This window comes from Homo sapiens, chromosome 3 (assembly GCF_000001405.40).
Source record: "Homo sapiens chromosome 3, GRCh38.p14 Primary Assembly".
NCBI lineage: Eukaryota > Metazoa > Chordata > Mammalia > Primates > Hominidae > Homo > Homo sapiens.
The window spans coordinates 49,143,242-49,161,380 of NC_000003.12; the positions used below are offsets into that span (position 1 = coordinate 49,143,242).

Sequence of the window (18,139 nt, forward strand, 5' to 3'; positions counted from 1 at the left end):
CAGTTTACGAGATGACAGGATTAAGATATTAAAGTAAAGACAGGCATAGGAAATCACAAGGGTATTGATTGGGAAAGTGATAAGTGTCCATGAAATCTTCACAATTTATGTTTACAGATTGCAGTAAAGACAGGCATAAGAAATTATAAAAGTATTAATTTGGGGAACTAATAAATGTCCATGAAATCTTCACAATCCACGTTCTTCTGCCATGGCTTCAGCCGGTCCCTCCATTTGGGGTCCCTGACTTCCCGCAACACAGGTCACTGCTGCGGAAGCCAGGCTTGCCGTGGGCATAGGCAGGGACATGGCTGTGGTGCACAGAATGCTGGCAGTGCCCACTGTGGGGGTCACAGGCAGCAGGATCATGGAGATTGATATTGCCACACTGGCAGACCGGTATGGACTCTTCTGGGGTATCCTCCTGGCCAGGTGCCCAAAATAGCCACAGAAGCAGTGGTCACAGCTGAGGCCTGGAGAGGACTGGGGTATATGTGTCTTCCTGTACCCTGGGGGCCTGTGGGTCTCAGATATGCAGCCAGAAAGTCTGAGGTCTGGCCAGGAGGGACACAATAGGTATATTATAGCCCATCTTCCTGGCTTTCAAGGTCTATACCTATAATTCCCCCCATTCAGCCCTCCTTCCTCAGAACAGGAACTCCTTGAAGATGGTGCCCAGCTCAGCATACAGGTGGCATTGGGAAGATTTGTCATGTGGACCTGATGGGATTGTGAACAATTGACCAGGGCTGTGGCTTTGTCACTGCCAACCATGCCTCACCTGCATAGCCAGGTAAACAGAAGACTAGGATATGCCCACTCATGCTGTCCACATGGCAGGAACTCCCATGATAGAGGCTGGAATTGGGGTGCCCAGGACAAAGGCAGAGCCAGCACCGCTGGCCCAAGCCTAGAGTGGGGTCTCCATAGTAGCCATCCAAGCACCTGGGGGCAGTAGCACATGGTATGGGGCCTGTTCAACCCATCCAATGACAGTGCTCACCTTTTACAGTGCCAGCCTGGCAGGCCTGGCAGATACATATAAGGGGGTGGCACAACTCAGCATGCCCATTGCAGGCACAGGGCTGGCACTGCCAAAAGCTTCAGTAGCCAGGGAGGCAGTAGTCACGGCAGCAACCAGCAAGTCCTTCCTGGAACATGCACTGCCCATACACAGGGTTATAGATGGCACTGGTGGTACCTTCAGCATATCAGTGGCACTCTGTGGAGAATGACAAAGCAATCAAGCCATGCAAGGACAGGAGACAGCTGGCCCCCAACCTCATGCCTACAGGCCCTGAAGGCTCATCACTGCAGCCAGAGGCCCAAAGCCTGCTTTCCAGGCACACAGTGGTCACAAGTATGACCAATGATATGAAGATGGCAGGGATACTGCCCACATAGCAGGCCCCACTCAGTGCTCAGTGAACCTTGCAGATGGCACACATGCTGGCAGAGGAAGGGAAAGATTAGATGAACCTCATGGTGCTCCTGCAACCCCTACCCTGAAGCCACTTCAAGCCTGGCACATACACTCACTGAGGCCCATCCCCATGGAGCAGAGCTGAGATGCTGCAGAACAGGCAGGCACAGGCTTCAGGCATCGTGCTGGAGAGGCCTGGCCTTGCTGCCTCCATGAGCCTGCCTGGTGGAACTCCTGTAAATGCCTGAGGCCCCAGGGTACAAAGACCCCAGCCCAGGCAACGTGTTCACCCATGGCAGGTGCACAAGCTAGCAAGAGGGTCAAGGGAAGCCAGCAAGAGGCAATCAGCCCCACTCATTAACACTTACTTGCCACCTTTCTTGGATTGGCCCTCATCCAAGGGGGACATCCCTACCCCCACCCCTCAGCCCCCCTTCTGTTTCCTAATCTCTCTCTTTTTTTTTTTTTTTTTTTTGAGACAGAGTTTTGCTCTAGTTGTCCAGGCTGGAGTGTAATGCTGTGATCTTGGCTCACTGTAACCTCTACCTCCCAGGTTCAAGCAATTCTCCTGCCTCAGCCTCCCAAGTATCTGGGACTACAGGTGCATGCTACCATACCTGGCTAATTTTTTTTTTTTTTTTTTGGTAGAGGTGGGGTTTCGCCATGTTAGCCAGGATGGCCTCAATCTCCTGACCTTGTGATCCGCCCAACTCGGCCTCCCAAAGTGCTGGGATTACAGACACCCGCCACCACGCCCAGCTAATTTTTGTATTTTTAGTACAGACGGGGTTTCACCATGTTCACCAGGCTTCTCTCAAACTTTTGACCTCAGGTGATCCCACCTCGGCCTCCCAAAGTGCTGGGATTACAGGCGTGAGCCACCATGCCCGGCCCCTTGAACCCCTAATCTGTTTTGAGTCAATTTTTCCTCCATCTCCAGTGGCCCCAATCTAGTAGAGAGAATGCCATCTCTCACTCAGAATCATTTCGGGAGCTTGCATCTGGGCCTTCCACCAAACAATAAATTCTCCCCACATCTCTTCCCTGCTTAAATCTCTTCCATGGTTCCCCACTTCCCCTGGGATAAAGGTTAAGCCCCTCTCCTGGCCCAAAAGGTCCTATGAGATCTGGCACTTGCCTATTCTTATCTTCTGTCTTTTGCATGAGCTGTTTCCCCTGCCTGGGCTCCTCTGCCTACACTCTCCATCTATGTAGGTCTTAATCCTCTTGCTGCAACTCCAGGCCTCTATGATCCCCTGCCTCCCAGCCTCACTGCACCAATCCTGTCTTGCTATAATTTATGTCTCAGAGACTGGGCGCAGTGGTTCACGCCTGTAATCTCAGCACTTTGGGAGGGCGAGGCAGGTGGATCACCTGAGGTCAGGAATTCAACACCAGTCTGGCCAACATGGTGAAATCCCGTCTCTACTAAAAATACAAAAAAAAATTAGCTGGGCATGGTGGCAGGCGCCTATAATCCCGGCTACTCCAAAGGCTGCAGCAGAAGAATCGCTTGAACCCAGGAGGCAGAGGTTGCAGTGAGCCGAGATCGTGCCATTGCACTACAGCCTGGGCAACAAGAGCGAAACTCTGTCTCAAAATAAATAAGTAAATAAACAAACAAAGAGGCCGGGTGCAGGTGGCTCATGCCTGTAATCCCAGGACTTTGGGAGGCCGAGGCGTGCAGATCACCTGAGGTCAGGAGTTCAAGACCAGCCTGGCCAATGTGGTGAGACCCTCTCTCTACTAAAAACACAAAAATAAAATAAAATAAAATAAAACAAAACTAGCCAGACAAGGTGGCCAGCACCTGTGATCCCAGCTACTGAGGAGGCTGAGGCAAGAGAATCGCTTGAACCTGGGAGGCAGAGGTTGCAGTGAGTCAACATTGTGCCACTGTACTCCAACCTGGGTGACAAGAGCAAAACTCCATCTCAAAAAATAAAATAAAATAAAATAAAATAAAATAAAATAAAATAAAATAAAATAGGCCAGGCGTGGTGGCTCACGCCTGTAATCCCAGCACTTTGGGAAGCCGAGGCGGGTGGATCATGAGGTCAGGAGATCGAGACCATCCTGGCTAACACGGTGAAACCCCATCTCTACTAAAAATACAAAAACAAAAAATTAGCTGGGCGCAGTGGCAGGCACCTGTAGTCCCAGCTACTTGGGAGGCTGAGGAAGGAGAATGGTGTGAACGTGGGAGGCGGAGCTTGCAGTGAGCCAAGATAGCGCCACTGCACTCCAGCCTGGGTGACAGAGCAAGACTCCATCTCAAAAAATAATAATAATAATAAAATAAAATAAAATAAAAAAATAAAATTGGCCAGGCACAGTGGCTCATGCCTGTAATCCCAGCACTTTTGGAGGCCGAGGTGGGCGGACCATGAGATCAGGAGATGGAGATCATCCTGGCTAACACAGTCAAACCCCGTCTCTACTAAAAATACAAAAAAATTAGCCAAGCATGGTGGCGGGCGCCTGTAGTCCCAGCTACTACTCAGGAGGCTGAGGCAGGAGAATGGCATGAACCCAGGAAGCGGAGCTTGCAGTGAGCCAAGATTGCGCCACTGCACTCCAGCCTGGGCAACAGAGTGAGACTCCATCTCAAAAAAATTAAAATAAATAAAATAAAATTTATGTCTCTGAGCCAGGCGCAGTGGCTCACACCTATAATCCCAGCACTTTGGGAGGCCAAGGTGGTCAGATCACCTGAGGTCAGGAGTTCGTGACCAGCCTGGCCAATATGGTGAAACCCCAACTCTACTAAAAATACAAAAATTAGCCGGGTAGCCAGGTGCGGTGGCTCAAGCCTGTAATCCCAGCATTTTGGGAGGCCGAGTTGGGCGGATCACAAGGTCAGGAGATTGAGACCATCCTGGCTAACATGGTGAAACCCCACCTCTACTAAAAAAAAAAAAAAAAAAAAAATTAGCCAGGTATGGTAGCATGCGCCTGTAGTCCCAGCTACTCAGGAGGCTGAGGCAGGAGAATCGCTAGAACCTGGGAGGCAGAGGTTGCAGTGAGCAGAGATCACATCACTGCACTCCAGCCTGGGCAACAAGAGAGAAACTCCATCTCAAAAAATAAATAAATATATAAAAAAATTTTAAAAAGGCCAGGCGCAGTGGCTCACACCTGTAATCCTAGCACTTTGGGAAGCCGAGGCGGGCGGATCACGAGGTCAGGAGATCGAGACCATCCCGGCTAACACAGTGAAACCCCGTCTCTACTAAAAATACAAAAAATTAGCCAGGCATGGTGGCGGGCGCCTGTAGTCCCAGCCACTCGGGAAGCTGAGGCAGGAGAATGGCGTGAACCCAGGAGGCGGAGCTTGCAGTGAGCCGAGACAGCGCCACTGCACTCAGGCCTGGGCAAAAGAGTAAGACTCCGTCTCAAAAAAAAAAAAAAAAAAAAATTAGCCGGGTGTGGCAGTGGGCACCTGTAATCCCAGCTACTCAGGAAGCTGAGGCAGAACTGCTTGAACCTGGGAGGCGGAGGTTGCAGTGAGCTAAGATTGCTCCATTGCACTCCAGCCTGGGTGACAAGAACGAGACTCCCTCTCAAAAAAAAAAAAAAAAAATTATGTCTCTGCCAGATGTAGGGTGCAGCCCCTAGGACATCACTGAATGCAGATGGATGAAGCTTCCCTCAGTCCTCCACACTCCCTCTTGGTCTGCCATAGCCTGTGTCGTGGAGTAGCAGCATGTTCCTGGATCAAAGCAGAAAGTCTGTATAGAACCACAACCCTGCAGTGAATGGGGAGAGGAGAAGAGGTGAGGTGATGCTGCAATGATCATGTGGTCCCAGAGATGCCTCCATGCTTCCTTCCTTCCTTCCTTCTTTCCTTCCTTCCTTCCTTCGTTCCTTCCTTCCTTCCTCCCTCCCTCCGTCCTTTCTTTCTTTCCTTTTTCTTCTTCTTTTTTTTTGATGGAGGCTCGCTCTGTCGTCCAGTCTGGAGTGCAGTGGCGCGATCTCGGCTCAGTCCCACCTCAGCCTCCCGAGTAGCTGGGAGTACAGGTGTGTGCCACCACGCCAGGCTAATTTTTGTATTTTTAGTAGAAATGGGGTTTCGGCCGGGTGCGGTGGTTCATGCCTGTAATCCCAGCACTTTGGGAGGCTGAGGCGGGACAATCACAATGTCAAGAGATCGAGACCATCCTGGCCAACATAGTGAAACCCCGTCTCTACTAAAAATACAAAAATTAGCTGGGCATGGTGGTACGCGCCTGTAGTCCCACCTACTTGGTAGGCTGAGGCAGGAGAATCGCTTGAACCCAGGAAGTGGAGGTTGCAATGAGCCGAGATCGTGCCACTGCACTCCAGCCTGGTGACAAAGTGAGACTCCGTCTCAAAGTCTCAAAAAAAAAAAAAAAAAAAGCCACGCGCTGTGGCTCACACCTGTAATCCCAGCACTTTGGGAGGCTGAGGCGGGCAGATCACCTGATGATGAGAGTTGGAGACCAACCTGACCAACAGGGAGAAACCCCATCTCTACTAAAAATACAAAATTAGCTGGGTGTGGTGGCACGTACCTGTAATCCCAGCTACTCAGGAGGCTAACGCAGGAGAACTGCTTGAACCCGGGAGGCGGAGGTTGCGGTGAGCTGAGATCCCACCATTGCACTCCAGCCTGGGCAACAAGAGAGAAACTCTATCTCAAAAAAAAAAAAAAAAAAAAAAGCAGGGCGCGGTGGCTCACGCCTGTAATCCCAGCACTTTGGGAGGTCGAGGCAGGCGGATCATGAGGTCAGGAGATCGAGACCATCCTGGCCAACATGGTGAAACCCCGTCTCTACTAAAAATACAAAAAATTAGCCGGGCGTGGTGGCGGGCACCTGTAATCCCAGCTACTGGGGAGGCTGAGGCAGGAGAATTGCTTGAACCCAGGATGCGGAGGTTGCAGTGAGCCAAGATCGTGCCATTGCACTCCAGCCTGGGCAAAAAGAGCGAAACTCTGTCTCAAAGAGAAAAAAAAAAAAGAAACAGGGTTTCACCATGTTGGCCAGGCTGGTATGGAACTTCTGACCTCAGGTGATCCGCCCACCTTGTCCTCCCAAAGTGCTGAGATTACAGGCATGAGCCACTGTGCCCAGCTGGGATGCCTCATTTCTATTGTGCACTTAGTGAGCCCAACATTTCATCATGAATGGAAAAAGACCAACTTCTTAAATCCTGCTTTATTGTTAAACTAAGTACCTGTTTTGCTTGTTTTACGACATGATGATATGCCATACTGACGGTTTGGTGTGTTTCAAATGTGTGGGCAGCATAATGGGGTCCTGGTATTGGGAGTGACAGGGTTGGGGGTCACAGGGTCTTGCCTAGCTGTGTGCACGAAGCAGGGCCACCTGAAACAGCTGCTCTGAGGGCAGCAGATGGGCACAGTGGGTGCTGCTGGGCAGGAATTGGGCACAGACACTGACTAATGCCTGACAGTCTTCAGGTTCCTGGGGTTAGGGGTCAGCAGTCACAGAGCCACTCCTATCCATCCCTACCACCACCCATCCACACTCCTGACATCCACACCACTGACCTAGGTTTCATAGAGCAGGACAATGTCATACTACAGGGCATGAGGCACCAATGGGCACCAGGAGAGAAGGGCAACCCTCACTGACCACATGGGCAAAGTCAAGCCAGTCCAAAATACAGGACCAGCTGCCCATGCAGGGGAAAGGGCTTTTCTGGGGCCTGCATGTGAGACACAGACTTCCCATTCCAGGACCTACGACCCTCAGGGCTTAGACTCCCATTCCCTCAAGAACCCAAGGATCTGTATTCCCAGGCCCTTATCCCTCTTAAGATCCTAGTGACCTGTGACTTCATCTTGTTCCCCAGACTCCTCACTTTGGGCAGCTGGTGCCTGTAATGGTCTTGCCAGACAGGGTGGAGGGCACATCAAGGGTCATGCTATCATCCAGGTGTGGTGGCTCATGCCTGTAATCCCAGCACTTTGGAAAGCCAAGGCGGGCAGATCACCTGAGGTCAGGAGTTCGAGACCAGCCTGGCCAACAAGGTGAAACCCCGTATCTACTAAAAATACAAAAACTAGTCACGTGTGGTGGCAGGCACCTGTAATCCCAGTGATTTGGGAGGCTGAGGCAGGAAAATAGCTTGAACCCAGGAGGCACAGGTTGCAATGAGCCAAGATCATGCCATTGCACTCCAGCCTGGACGACAAGAGTGAAATTCCATCTCAAAACAAACAAACAAACAAACAAAACAAAACAAAAAACAGCGTGATGCTATCTCTGAAGTCGGGGCTGAAGCCAGTCAGAGGCAGTCCCTGGGGCTTCTGTACAGTGGAAAGGAGCAGGCCAGGGGGCTCCCTCGAAGGAAGTGGGAGTCCTAGTCCTTTCCCATACTGTCCTGGGAATAATATGGCCTCTGTCCAAGACACTGAACTTTTGACCATGCTGACACCCATACCTGGATTTCCAAGTCTTTCCAACCCTGCTCAGACTCTTCCTCCAAATAGTTATCTGGACGTTCACTTCTTCCAGTGAGCCCCAGTGTCTGAGCTTTGATTTCTTTCTGCTTCTGACCCTCCTGATACTTATACTTGCTGGAGAACCTGGCCAAGTTTGGCTTCAGCTGTGGCCAAGGGCAGCACAGAAATACCCAGATTAGACCAGGCGCCATGTGGCACGCCTATAATCCCAGCACTTTGAGAGGCCAAGGTGGGCGGATCACCTGAGGTCAGGAGTTCGAGACCAGCCTAGCCAATATGGTGAAACTTCGTCTCTACTAAAAATACAAAAATTCGCCAGGTGTGGTGGTGCATGCTTGTAATCTCAGCTACTCGGGAGACTGAGGCAGGAGAATCGCTTGAACCCGGGAGGCGGAGGTTGCAGTGAGCTGAGTTTGTGTCATTGCATGCCACCCTGCCTGGGCGACACAGCAAGACGCTGTCTCAAATTAAAAAAAAAGAAAAAAAAAGAAAAAGAAATACCCAGATTAGTGCTCATGGCAGTGGCAGCCACAGAGGTGGGGGTGGGATATGCAGAGACTCACCACTGCAGAATACCTGAGGGAGCACAGAGGTGAGGAGGGGTCAGGGTGAAGTCTTGATTCTTGCCATTTGACCATGAATTCCAGGCCCCGCCCTGTACCTGTTACTGTAGCATCTGCAAAGTTAAAGTCACAGGGCCAGCAGCCTGGGTGGGGGCGGGGTCACTGCCCAGACCCTAGAACTCAGGCTGTAGGAGACTGTAGTTGGGTTGGGGAAGGCAAGAAGATCTGGACAGGAAGAGGAGGGGAGGGGCCTGATAAGTCTTATATTGGGTCTGCCTATGGTGGGAAAAGGGGTGAGAAAGGGCCTGAATGTTCCTCTGACTGCATCTGAAAGTGAGAGAGAAGATCATGGTGCACTCCTGAGTAACTTCACAGAGAGACATAAGAAGGAGATGAGGACACAACCAGGGTTAAATAAAAGTTAAGCCAAGAGGCCGGGCACAGTGGCGCACGCCTGTAATCCTAGCGTTTTGGGAGGTTAAGGTGGGTGGATCACGAGGTCAGGAGTTCGAGACCAGCCTGGCCAAGATGGTGAAACCCCGTCTCTACTTAAAAAAAAAAAAAAATTAGCCGGGCGTGGTTGCGGTTGCCTGTAATCCCAGCTACTCGAGAGGCTGAGGCAGGAGAATCACTTGAACCCAGGAGGCAGAGGTTGCAGTGAGCTGAGATTGCGCCACTGCACTCCAGCCTGGGTGACAGAGTGAGACTCCATCTCAAAAAAAAAAAAAAAGTTAAGCAAAGAGTTTGTAACATTCGAGGCAAAGAGAGGATGGAGTTATTCCTTGGACTAAGTCTTCCTCTAAACAAGTTTGCTGGAAAAAAAACAAAACAAAACAAAACAAAACAAAAAAACACCTTTGGCCGGGTGTGGTGGCTCACACGAGTAATCCCAGCACTTTGGGAGACCAAGGCGGGCAGATCATTTGAGGTCAGGAGTTGGAGACCAGCGTGGCTGACATGGTAAAACTTCGCCTCTACTAAAAATACAAAAATTAGCCAGGTGTGGTGGTGTGTGCCTGTAATTCCAGCTACACAGGAGGCTAAGGCATGAGAATCGCTTGAACTCGGGAGGTGGAGGTTGCAGCGAGCCGAGGTTGCACCACTGCACTCCAGCCTGGGTGACAGAGCAAGACAAGACTCTGTCTCAAAAACAAAAACAAAGACAAAAGCCTTTAAATCCAGTGTATAATACAAGTTTAATCAATTTCCCTTTTGTTTCCGAAACTCCCACCTGAGGGCATATACAGGTTCAGCTAGCCAAAGTGATGCTGACCCTGGTGACCAAGTCAGTGAGCGGCACCCACCCAAGTACAAGGCTCAGTCCACAGTCATGATAACTATAGCCTTATACTCATTATAAGGCTATAGCTCCAAGAAGCTCAGTGCCAAAGGTCAAGGTTAAATCAGAAGGTGGGCCAAGCCTCACCAGACAATGGCTACCGTCCTGCCCAGAGACAAAGCATTTGCAGTGACAGGTACCACTGGAGGGATAACAGACATGAGTACCAGGGACCTGAACCCTGGGGTCACACCTGCAGGCGAAGGCTTAGGGCTCTTAGCTTGCTAATGGAACTGCAGTGAGGTGGGTAGGTGCGTGTGTTATCAGGGCAGTAACTGGGGGCAGAGCCAGGAGGACATGGAGGCGGGGGCCCACCCTGAGTGTCACTCACACTGGCAGCTCTGAGGTTGGGTGGAGCTCAGGCCATAGTGACCAGGCCAGTAGGAGTCACAGTGCTGACCCCATACACACACTTTGCAGCAACACTGCCCAGAGAGGAGGCCATGGATCTCATTAATGTGAGCATCACACAAATCCCCTTCCAGACACCCACAGGGTCACAGTCACAGGCTAGATCAGAGGTCAGAGGTTAAGGATGGAATTAGGTCAGAGGTCACCATGGAGCTGAAGGATAAGAGTCAGTGTTGGGATTAGGGGTTGAAGGACTCATGTCTGCAGGACCGAGGGGAACAGGGATCCTCTCAGGGATGACAGTAGAAGAAGGGCCAGCAGAACTCACAGTGGCGCCCAGCTGTGTTGTGCTGACACACATCACACACACCTCCACTCACATAACCAGACACACAGCTGTGTCAAAGTGACAACTGTAGACATGCCCATGGCACTCACATTCTGAGGCAGAACCAGAAAGGTAGATATGGGGTGGGCGGACCTGTGGCAGGTATGGCCAGGCAGAGTAGAGCATGGCATTCATCCCAGCAGGCATGGGGGTGCCCAGGCTCTGCTGCATGTCATGGATGATCCTGGTGCAGGTCTTGGCAGCACTCACAGTGTGCACCGACTGGTGGGGACAGATGCAAAGCCCATGTACCTGATAGGGAGGAGGGCAAGGCAGGCCTGCTCTGGAGTCCCAGCTTGCCCACCCCACCAGCAACAGAATGCCCCTCCCATTGTCCTCACCACATTGGCTGGGGTTCCAGGTGCAGACCTGCACTTAGAGGTGTGCCCAAGGCACAGGCAACTGCCTTTGGCTACAAGCTCATAGAAGGCATAGTAGTAGAAGGGGTGTCCCTTGAGGCCTCCCAGGGGCCTGTCACCCAGGGTGTGCAGTTTGGAGAAGTTTACACAGAGGTTAGTCACATGCAGGAGCTCTGGAGACACAGATGGTCAGACCTTGGGTGCCTTGGTCCTCACTTTCTATGACGAGGGAGGAGGGAAAGGAATGGGGGAGTCTTTCCCCTCTCCACATCCTTGTATCCACTCCTCCTGCCCTCATGCTATGGGGTTCTGTCATCCCTGCTTCCCTGGGAATGCTGTCTTAAGATGACCACAGCCTTCCCCATGGTGATAATTCCACTTCTGTAGTGAGGATCCCCTTTCTCCAATCCTGATTTTACTCCTGAACTGAGACCTGCACATCCCACTACTTCCTGGACACCCCACCATGGTATCATCAGGTATCTGAAACCTGCTTCCCTAATGCAGTAAAGGATTCTGCTTGTCATCCCATAGTCCAAACTAAAAATCTACTATCATTCAGCTAAACCACATAGGTACTACAATCGTGCACCCATCAGATTACAATGGAGAGGAAAAATTCATATTGTCTAGTGACATGGTGGCTGTCATAATGTTGTATGTAGCACAATACGTTACTCACGTTTGTGATGATACTGTGTAAACAAACCTACTGCATTGCTAGTCATATAAAAGTACAGCACATACAATTATGTACAGTAGGCTGGGCACAGTGGCTCACAGCTGTAATCCTAGCACTTTGGGAGACCAAGGCAGGTGGATCACCTGAGGTCAGGAGTTCGAGACTAGCCTAGCCAACATGGCGAAACCCCGTCTCTACTAAACAAATACAAAAAATCAGCCAGGCATGGTGGCGGGTGCCTGTAATCCCAGCTACTCTGGAGGCTGAGGCAGGGGAATCACTTGAACCTGGGGGACGGAGGTTGCAGTGAGCCAAGATCATGCCACTACACTCCAACCTGGGCAACAGAGTGAGACCCTGTCTCAAAAAAAAAAAAATTATGTTCAGTGTATAATACTTCATGATAATAAATGACTACTACTTGTTTATGCATTTACTATGCCATACTTTTTATCATTATTTTAGAGTGTGTGTCTTCTAGTTTTTTTTTTTTAATCTTTTTAAAAACATTTTTCAGATGGAGTGTAGCTCCATCGCCCAGGCTGGAGTGCAGAGGGGCGATCTCAGCTCACTGCAACCTCCACCTCCCAGGTTCAAGTGATTCTCGTGCTTCAATCTCCCGAGTAGCTGGGATTACAGGTGTGCACCACCACGCCTGGCTAATTTTTATATTTTTAGTAGAGACGGGATTTCGCCATGTTGGCCAGGTTGGTCTTGAACTCATGACCTCAGGTGATCCGCCCGCTCGGCCTCCTAAAGTGCTAGGATTACAGGTGTCAGCCACTGTGCCCGGCCAATGTTTATTTTTTTTTTAGAGAAAAGTTCTATGTTGCCCAGGCTGGACTGGAATTCCCAGACCCAAGCAATCCTCCCATCTCAGCCTCTTGAGTAGCTGAGACTACAAGCATGTACCACTATGCCCAGCTTTCCTTCTACTTTTTAAAAAAAGTAATTGTAAAACATGGTCGAGCACTGTAGCTCACGCCTATAATTCCAGAACTTTGGGAGCCAAGGTGGGCGCTAGCTTGAGTTCAGGAATTCAAGACCAGCCTGGACAACATGGTGAAACCCTGTCTCCACAAAAAAATACAAAAATTAGGCTGGGCACGGTGGCTTATGCCTGTAATCCCAGCATTTTGGGAGGCTAAGGCGGGTGGATCACGAGGTCAGGAGATCGAGACCATCCCGGCTAATATGGTGAAACCCCGTCTCTACTGAAAATACAAAAAATTAGCCAGGCATGGTAGCCAGTGCCTGTAGTCCCAGCTACTTGGGAGGTTGAGGCAGGAGAATGGCGTGAACCCGGGAGGCAGAGCTTGCAGTGAGCCGAGACAGCGCCACTGCACTCCAGCCTGGGCAACAGAGCGAGACTCCATCAAAAAAAAAAAAAAAAAGAAAGAAAAAAAAAAAAAGCCCAGGCACGGTGGCTCAAGCCTGTAATCCCAGCACTCTGGGAGGCTGAGGCGGGCAGATCGCCTGAGGTCAGGAGTTCGAGACCAGCCTGGCCAACACAGTGAAACCCCGTCTCTACTAAAAATACAAAAAATTAGCTGGGCGTGGTGGCGGGTGCCTGTAATCCCAGCTACTCAGGAGGCTGAGGCAGGAGAATTGCTTGAACCCGGGAGGCAGAGGTTGCAGTGAGCCAAGATTTCGCCATTGCACTCCACCCTGGGCAACAAGAGCAAAACTCCATCTCAAAAAAGAAAAAAAGAAAAAAACTTAGCCAGGCATGGTGGCACAGGCCTGTGGTCCCAGCTACTCGGGAGGCTGAGGTGGGAGGATCACTTGAGCCTGGGAGGCAGAGGCTGCAGTGGGCAGAGATGGTGCCACTGCACCCCAGCCTGGGCAACCTAGTGAGACCCTGTCTCAAAAAAAAATTAATTGTAAAACAGTCTCAGGCAGGTCCTTCAGGAGGTATCCAGAAGAAGGCATTGTTACCATAGATGACAGCTCCATGCATATTACTGCCCCTAAAGATCTTTTTCAGTGGGTCAAGATCTGGAGGTGGAAGACAGTGATATTGATGATCCTCACCCTATGTAGGCCTAGGCTAATGTGTATGTCTGTGTCTTAGTTTTTATTTTATTTTTTTTGAGACGGAGTCTTGCTCTGTCACCCAGGCTGGAGTGCAGTGGCACTATCTTGGCTCACTGCAAGCTCCGCCTCCTGGGTTCACGCCATTCTCCTGTCTCAGCCTCCCCAGCAGCTAGGACAACAGGTGCAGGCCACCATGCCTGGCTAATTTTTTTGTATTTTTAGTAGAGATGAAGTTTCACTGTGTTAGCCAGGATGGTCTCAATCTCCTGACCTCATGATCCGCCCACCTCCGCCTCCCAAAGTGCTGGGATTACAGGAGTGAGCCACCGCGCCTGGCAGTGTCTTAGTTTTTAACAAAAAAGTTTAAAATGTAAAAAAAAAATTTTTAACAGAGAAAAGCTTATCAAATACGGATAGAAAGGAAATATTTTTGTACAGCTCTACATGTGTTTTAAGCTAAGTGTTATAAAAGCTGTAAAAAGTTAAAAGTCTGTAAAGTAAAAAAAGTTCAGAAAGCTAAGGTTACTATTGAAGAAGGAAAAAATTTGTTTTTATACATTTAGTATAGCCCGTGTACAGTGTTTATAATCTACAGTAGTGTACAGTAATGTCCTAGGCCTTCACATTCACTCACCACTCCTCACTGACTCACTCCAAGTGCCATTCATGGTAAGTGCCCTATACAGGTGTACCATTTATCATCTTTTATACCATGTTTTTACTGTCCCTTTTCTATGTTTAGATACACAAATACCATTGTGTTAAAACTGCCTACAGTTTTCAGTACAGTCACATGCTGTACAGGTTTGTAGCCTAGGAGTAATAGGCTATACCAGATAGTCTAGAAGTGTGGTAGGCTATACAAGTACACTCTAGATGTTTCCACAACGATGAAACTGCGTAATGACACATTTCTCAGAATGTATCCCCATCATTAAACAATGCATGGTCACAGATGGGTTATTTATCAACTGTCTTTCTGACTTGATGTCCGTTCCAAGAAGGCAGATACCTTTTCTGCTGCTTCCCATCAAACACTGCCCAGAAGATGCCTGACAGAGTGTACAGCTCAATGGGTGCTTGTTATATGAATACATAGGTAAAGGAATGGGTCCATGGCTCCTCTCCCTGCTCCACATCTTAGGTCCATTACTAAGATACAGGAGGTCCGCTACCTCCTGTATCTTTCCTCTGCAGGCCTCTCCTCTTTTCTGATCTGAGGTGAAAAACAACAGCAGCTTGCAGACCTACCATGAGGGCTCAAGGTGAGCAGCTGGTAATAACTGCAGTTAAGGGGGGCAAGGAGTGCCCATTGGGTGTAGAGAAAAAACTAGTTTGGCGTTTGTCCTGCTCTGGTACCCTCCTGGCCTGATTCTGGGCTCTCCTACTAGGAGTCTTTAACAAAGACTTCTTTACAAGGAAGGTGTTACATCCAGAGATGCCCTGGTGCCACCTAGAGGCAGCTGCAGGGACAAAGGGCAAAGGTCAGGGTCATGAATGGAGTTGGAGGAGCAATGACAGGTAGACTATGACAGGGGCAGTGATGGGGGCCCACAAAGGGAAGAGTTATGAGGGGCAGTGATAGTAGAGACGGGGGACAGGTATGAGGAAATGAGGAACTATGATGGGGCCTCACAAAGGGATTCAATAATGGGGCAGAGTCATTATTGAAATTGTTCCCCATGCCAGTCCCTATACACTGGGTACAAGTATGGGGAACAGTGATGGGGTATAAATGGGAGGCCACAAAAAGGACCATGATGGGGCAGGGCTGGGGAACGGCCCTGGAAGACTGAGCTTGCCTACTTGCCCTGTCCCACCGGTGCCCACTCGGGGCAGGGCCTGTTTCCCCCAGTATCTACAAGCTCTGTCCTGACACACAAATGGTACAGGATTGCCTCTGGGGATGATTACCCTGAATCTCAGGGTTGTTTGGATCCTCTACTGGAATGGCTGGGTCCAGAACTTTGAAAATCACCTGGGAGAAAGAAGCAGGTTTGAGCATCCTATTTCACCTCAGGGCCCAACCCCCCTTTCCCTGGGCCTGACCTTGCCCTCAGTGGAAGGCTTGATGTCTGAGTAATGCTGGTCACAGACGAGGTCACTGACTCTGTGGCTAGGGGTAGGAGGGATCCCAAGAAAGAGGCTTGGGCAGTTGTGAACAAAGTATCTGTACATGTGCCAGGAGCGGCATGGTCCACTGAGTGCTCAAGGAGCACAGCTGCTAGGTGGAATGTCTGGGGAGTCACTAGGGACAAGCATCACTGGTGGCCATCAAATAGGGAAGCACAGGGTCAGCACTTGCTAAGCAAGCCTTCAGGCTGGGGCACTGGGAAAGTCTTGAGGTGGGTGAAGTAGAAGGCACCCTCTAGGTCCAGCTGGATAGTGATGTTTTTTCTTTTTTTTTTGAGATGGAGTCTTGCTCTGTTGCCCAGGCTGGAGTGCAGTGGCACGATCTCGGTTCACTGCAACCTCCACCTCCCAGGTTCAAGCGATTCTCCTGCCTCAGCCTCCCAAGTAGCTAGGACTACAGGTATGTGCCAGCACGCCTGGCTAATTTTTTATATTTTTCTTTTTTGAGACAGAGTCTCGCTCTGTCGCCCAGGGTGGAGTGCAGTGGCGCAATCTTGGCTCACTGCAAGCTCCGCAGCCCGGGTTCACGCCATCCTCCTGCCTCAGCCTCCTGAGTAGCTGGGACTGCAGGCGCACGCCGCCATGCCTGGCTAATTTTTTGTATTTTTAGTAGAGACAGAGTTTCACTGTGTTAGCCAGGATGGTCTCGACCTCCTGACCTTGTGATCCACCCACCTCGGCCTCCCAAAGTGCTGAGATTACAGGTGTGAGCCACCACACCCGGACAATTTTTTGTATTTTTAGTAGAGACAGGGTTTCACCATATTAGCCAGGTTGGTCTCGATCTCCTGACCTCGTGATCCACCCGCCTCGGCCTCCCAAAGTGCTGGGATTACAGGCATGAGCGACTGTGCCCGGCCTTGATGGTAACTTTTTTTTTTTTTGAGATGGAGTCTTGCTCTGTCGCCCAGGCTGGAGTGCAGTGGTGTCATCTCAGCTCACTGCAAGCTCTGCCTCCCTGGTTCACGCCATTCTCCTGCCTCAGCCTCCTGAGTAGCTGGGACTACAGGCGACCGCCACCACGCCCAGCTAATTTTTTGTATTTTTAGTAGAGACAGGGTTTCACCGTGTTAGCCAGGGTGGTCTCGATCTCCTGACCTTGTGATCCGCCCGCCTCAGCCTCCCAAAGTGCTGGGATTACAGGCATGAGCCATTGCGCCCGGCTGATGGTGACATTTTCAACACCTGCAGCCATAGGGCTAGTGAGTGACTAGGCCCTGACCCCGTACCTCCACACGTAGGCACACTGCACCCTCACCACTCTCTGCCTACCAGGTCTTGTTGCCACCACGGCCACTCTGGGAGATCACGTTCTTAATGTCATGGCCTCCCTGGTCGCAAGAGTCACAGGGGCAATTCTTTTTTTTTTTTTTTTTTTTTTTTTGAGACGGAGTCTCGCTCTGTCGCCCAGGCTGGAGTGCAGTGGCGGGATCTCGGCTCACTGCAAGCTCCGCCTCCCGGGTTCACGCCATTCTCCTGCCTCAGCCTCCCGAGTAGCTGGGACTACAGGCGCCCGCCACTACGCCCGGCTAATTTTTTGTATTTTTAGTAGAGACGGGGTTTCACCGTTTTTTAGCCGGGATGGTCTCGATCTCCTGACCTCGTGATCCGCCCGCCTCGGCCTCCCAAAGTGCTGGGATTACAGGCGTGAGCCACCGCGCCCGGCCAGACAGGGGCAATTCTGAGTTTTGGGTTAGGACTCAAGGAAACTGACTAGAGAGGTTAATCATCAGATCTCTACTCCAAAATTTCACAGCACATGCCTCTAGCTCCCAGCAATGACCCAGACCCCCAACAGGGCTGAACCAGCCCAGGACACCCAAAGAAACCAGCCTCCAGAGCCCTCACCTGCAGGTGACTGCCAATGAAGTAGGGCTCAGGGCCTACTGGATGAAGTTCGAAGGCTCTGGCTCTGGCCCCAGCCAACAACCAGGATGCTGATGCAGCCAGATCGGGAAGGGATATCTGGCACTCCCTGGGAAACTGTTCTAGGAGCCTGGACTAGGAGGGGCAGCATCTGACTAGAGATCCTAGGAATACCCACCCCTCTCCACCCCACCCCACAGGGAACCTTGATTTCTTTTTTTCTTTTCTTTTTTTTTTTTTTTTTTTTTTTTTTTGAGACAGAGTCTCACTCTGTCGCCCAGCCTGGAGTGCAGTGGCGAGATCTTGGCTCACTGCAAACTCTGCTTCCCAGGTTCAAGTGATCTTCCAGCCTCAACCTCCCAAGTAGCTGGGACTTTAGGTGTGTGCCACCACACCTGGCTGTTTTGTATTTTTAGTACAGATGAGATTTCACCATGTTGGCCAGGCTGGTCTCAAACTCCTGACCTCAACTGACCCACCTGCCTTGGACTCCCAAAGTGCTGGGATTACAGGCGTGAGCCCCAAGCTGGGCTGCCCTTGAGGA

General features: G+C 50.6%; 1 pseudogene across 1 annotated transcript; it reads right to left on the bottom strand.

The window, feature by feature from the left end:
- Nucleotides 1-9,617: 9,617 nt before the first annotated feature.
- LAMB2P1 (laminin subunit beta 2 pseudogene 1) lies at nt 9,618-11,160 on the bottom strand (annotated as a pseudogene). The gene has a single exon (NR_004405.1). The product of NR_004405.1 is annotated as a laminin subunit beta 2 pseudogene 1 (transcript).
- Nucleotides 11,161-18,139: the final 6,979 nt, after the last annotated feature.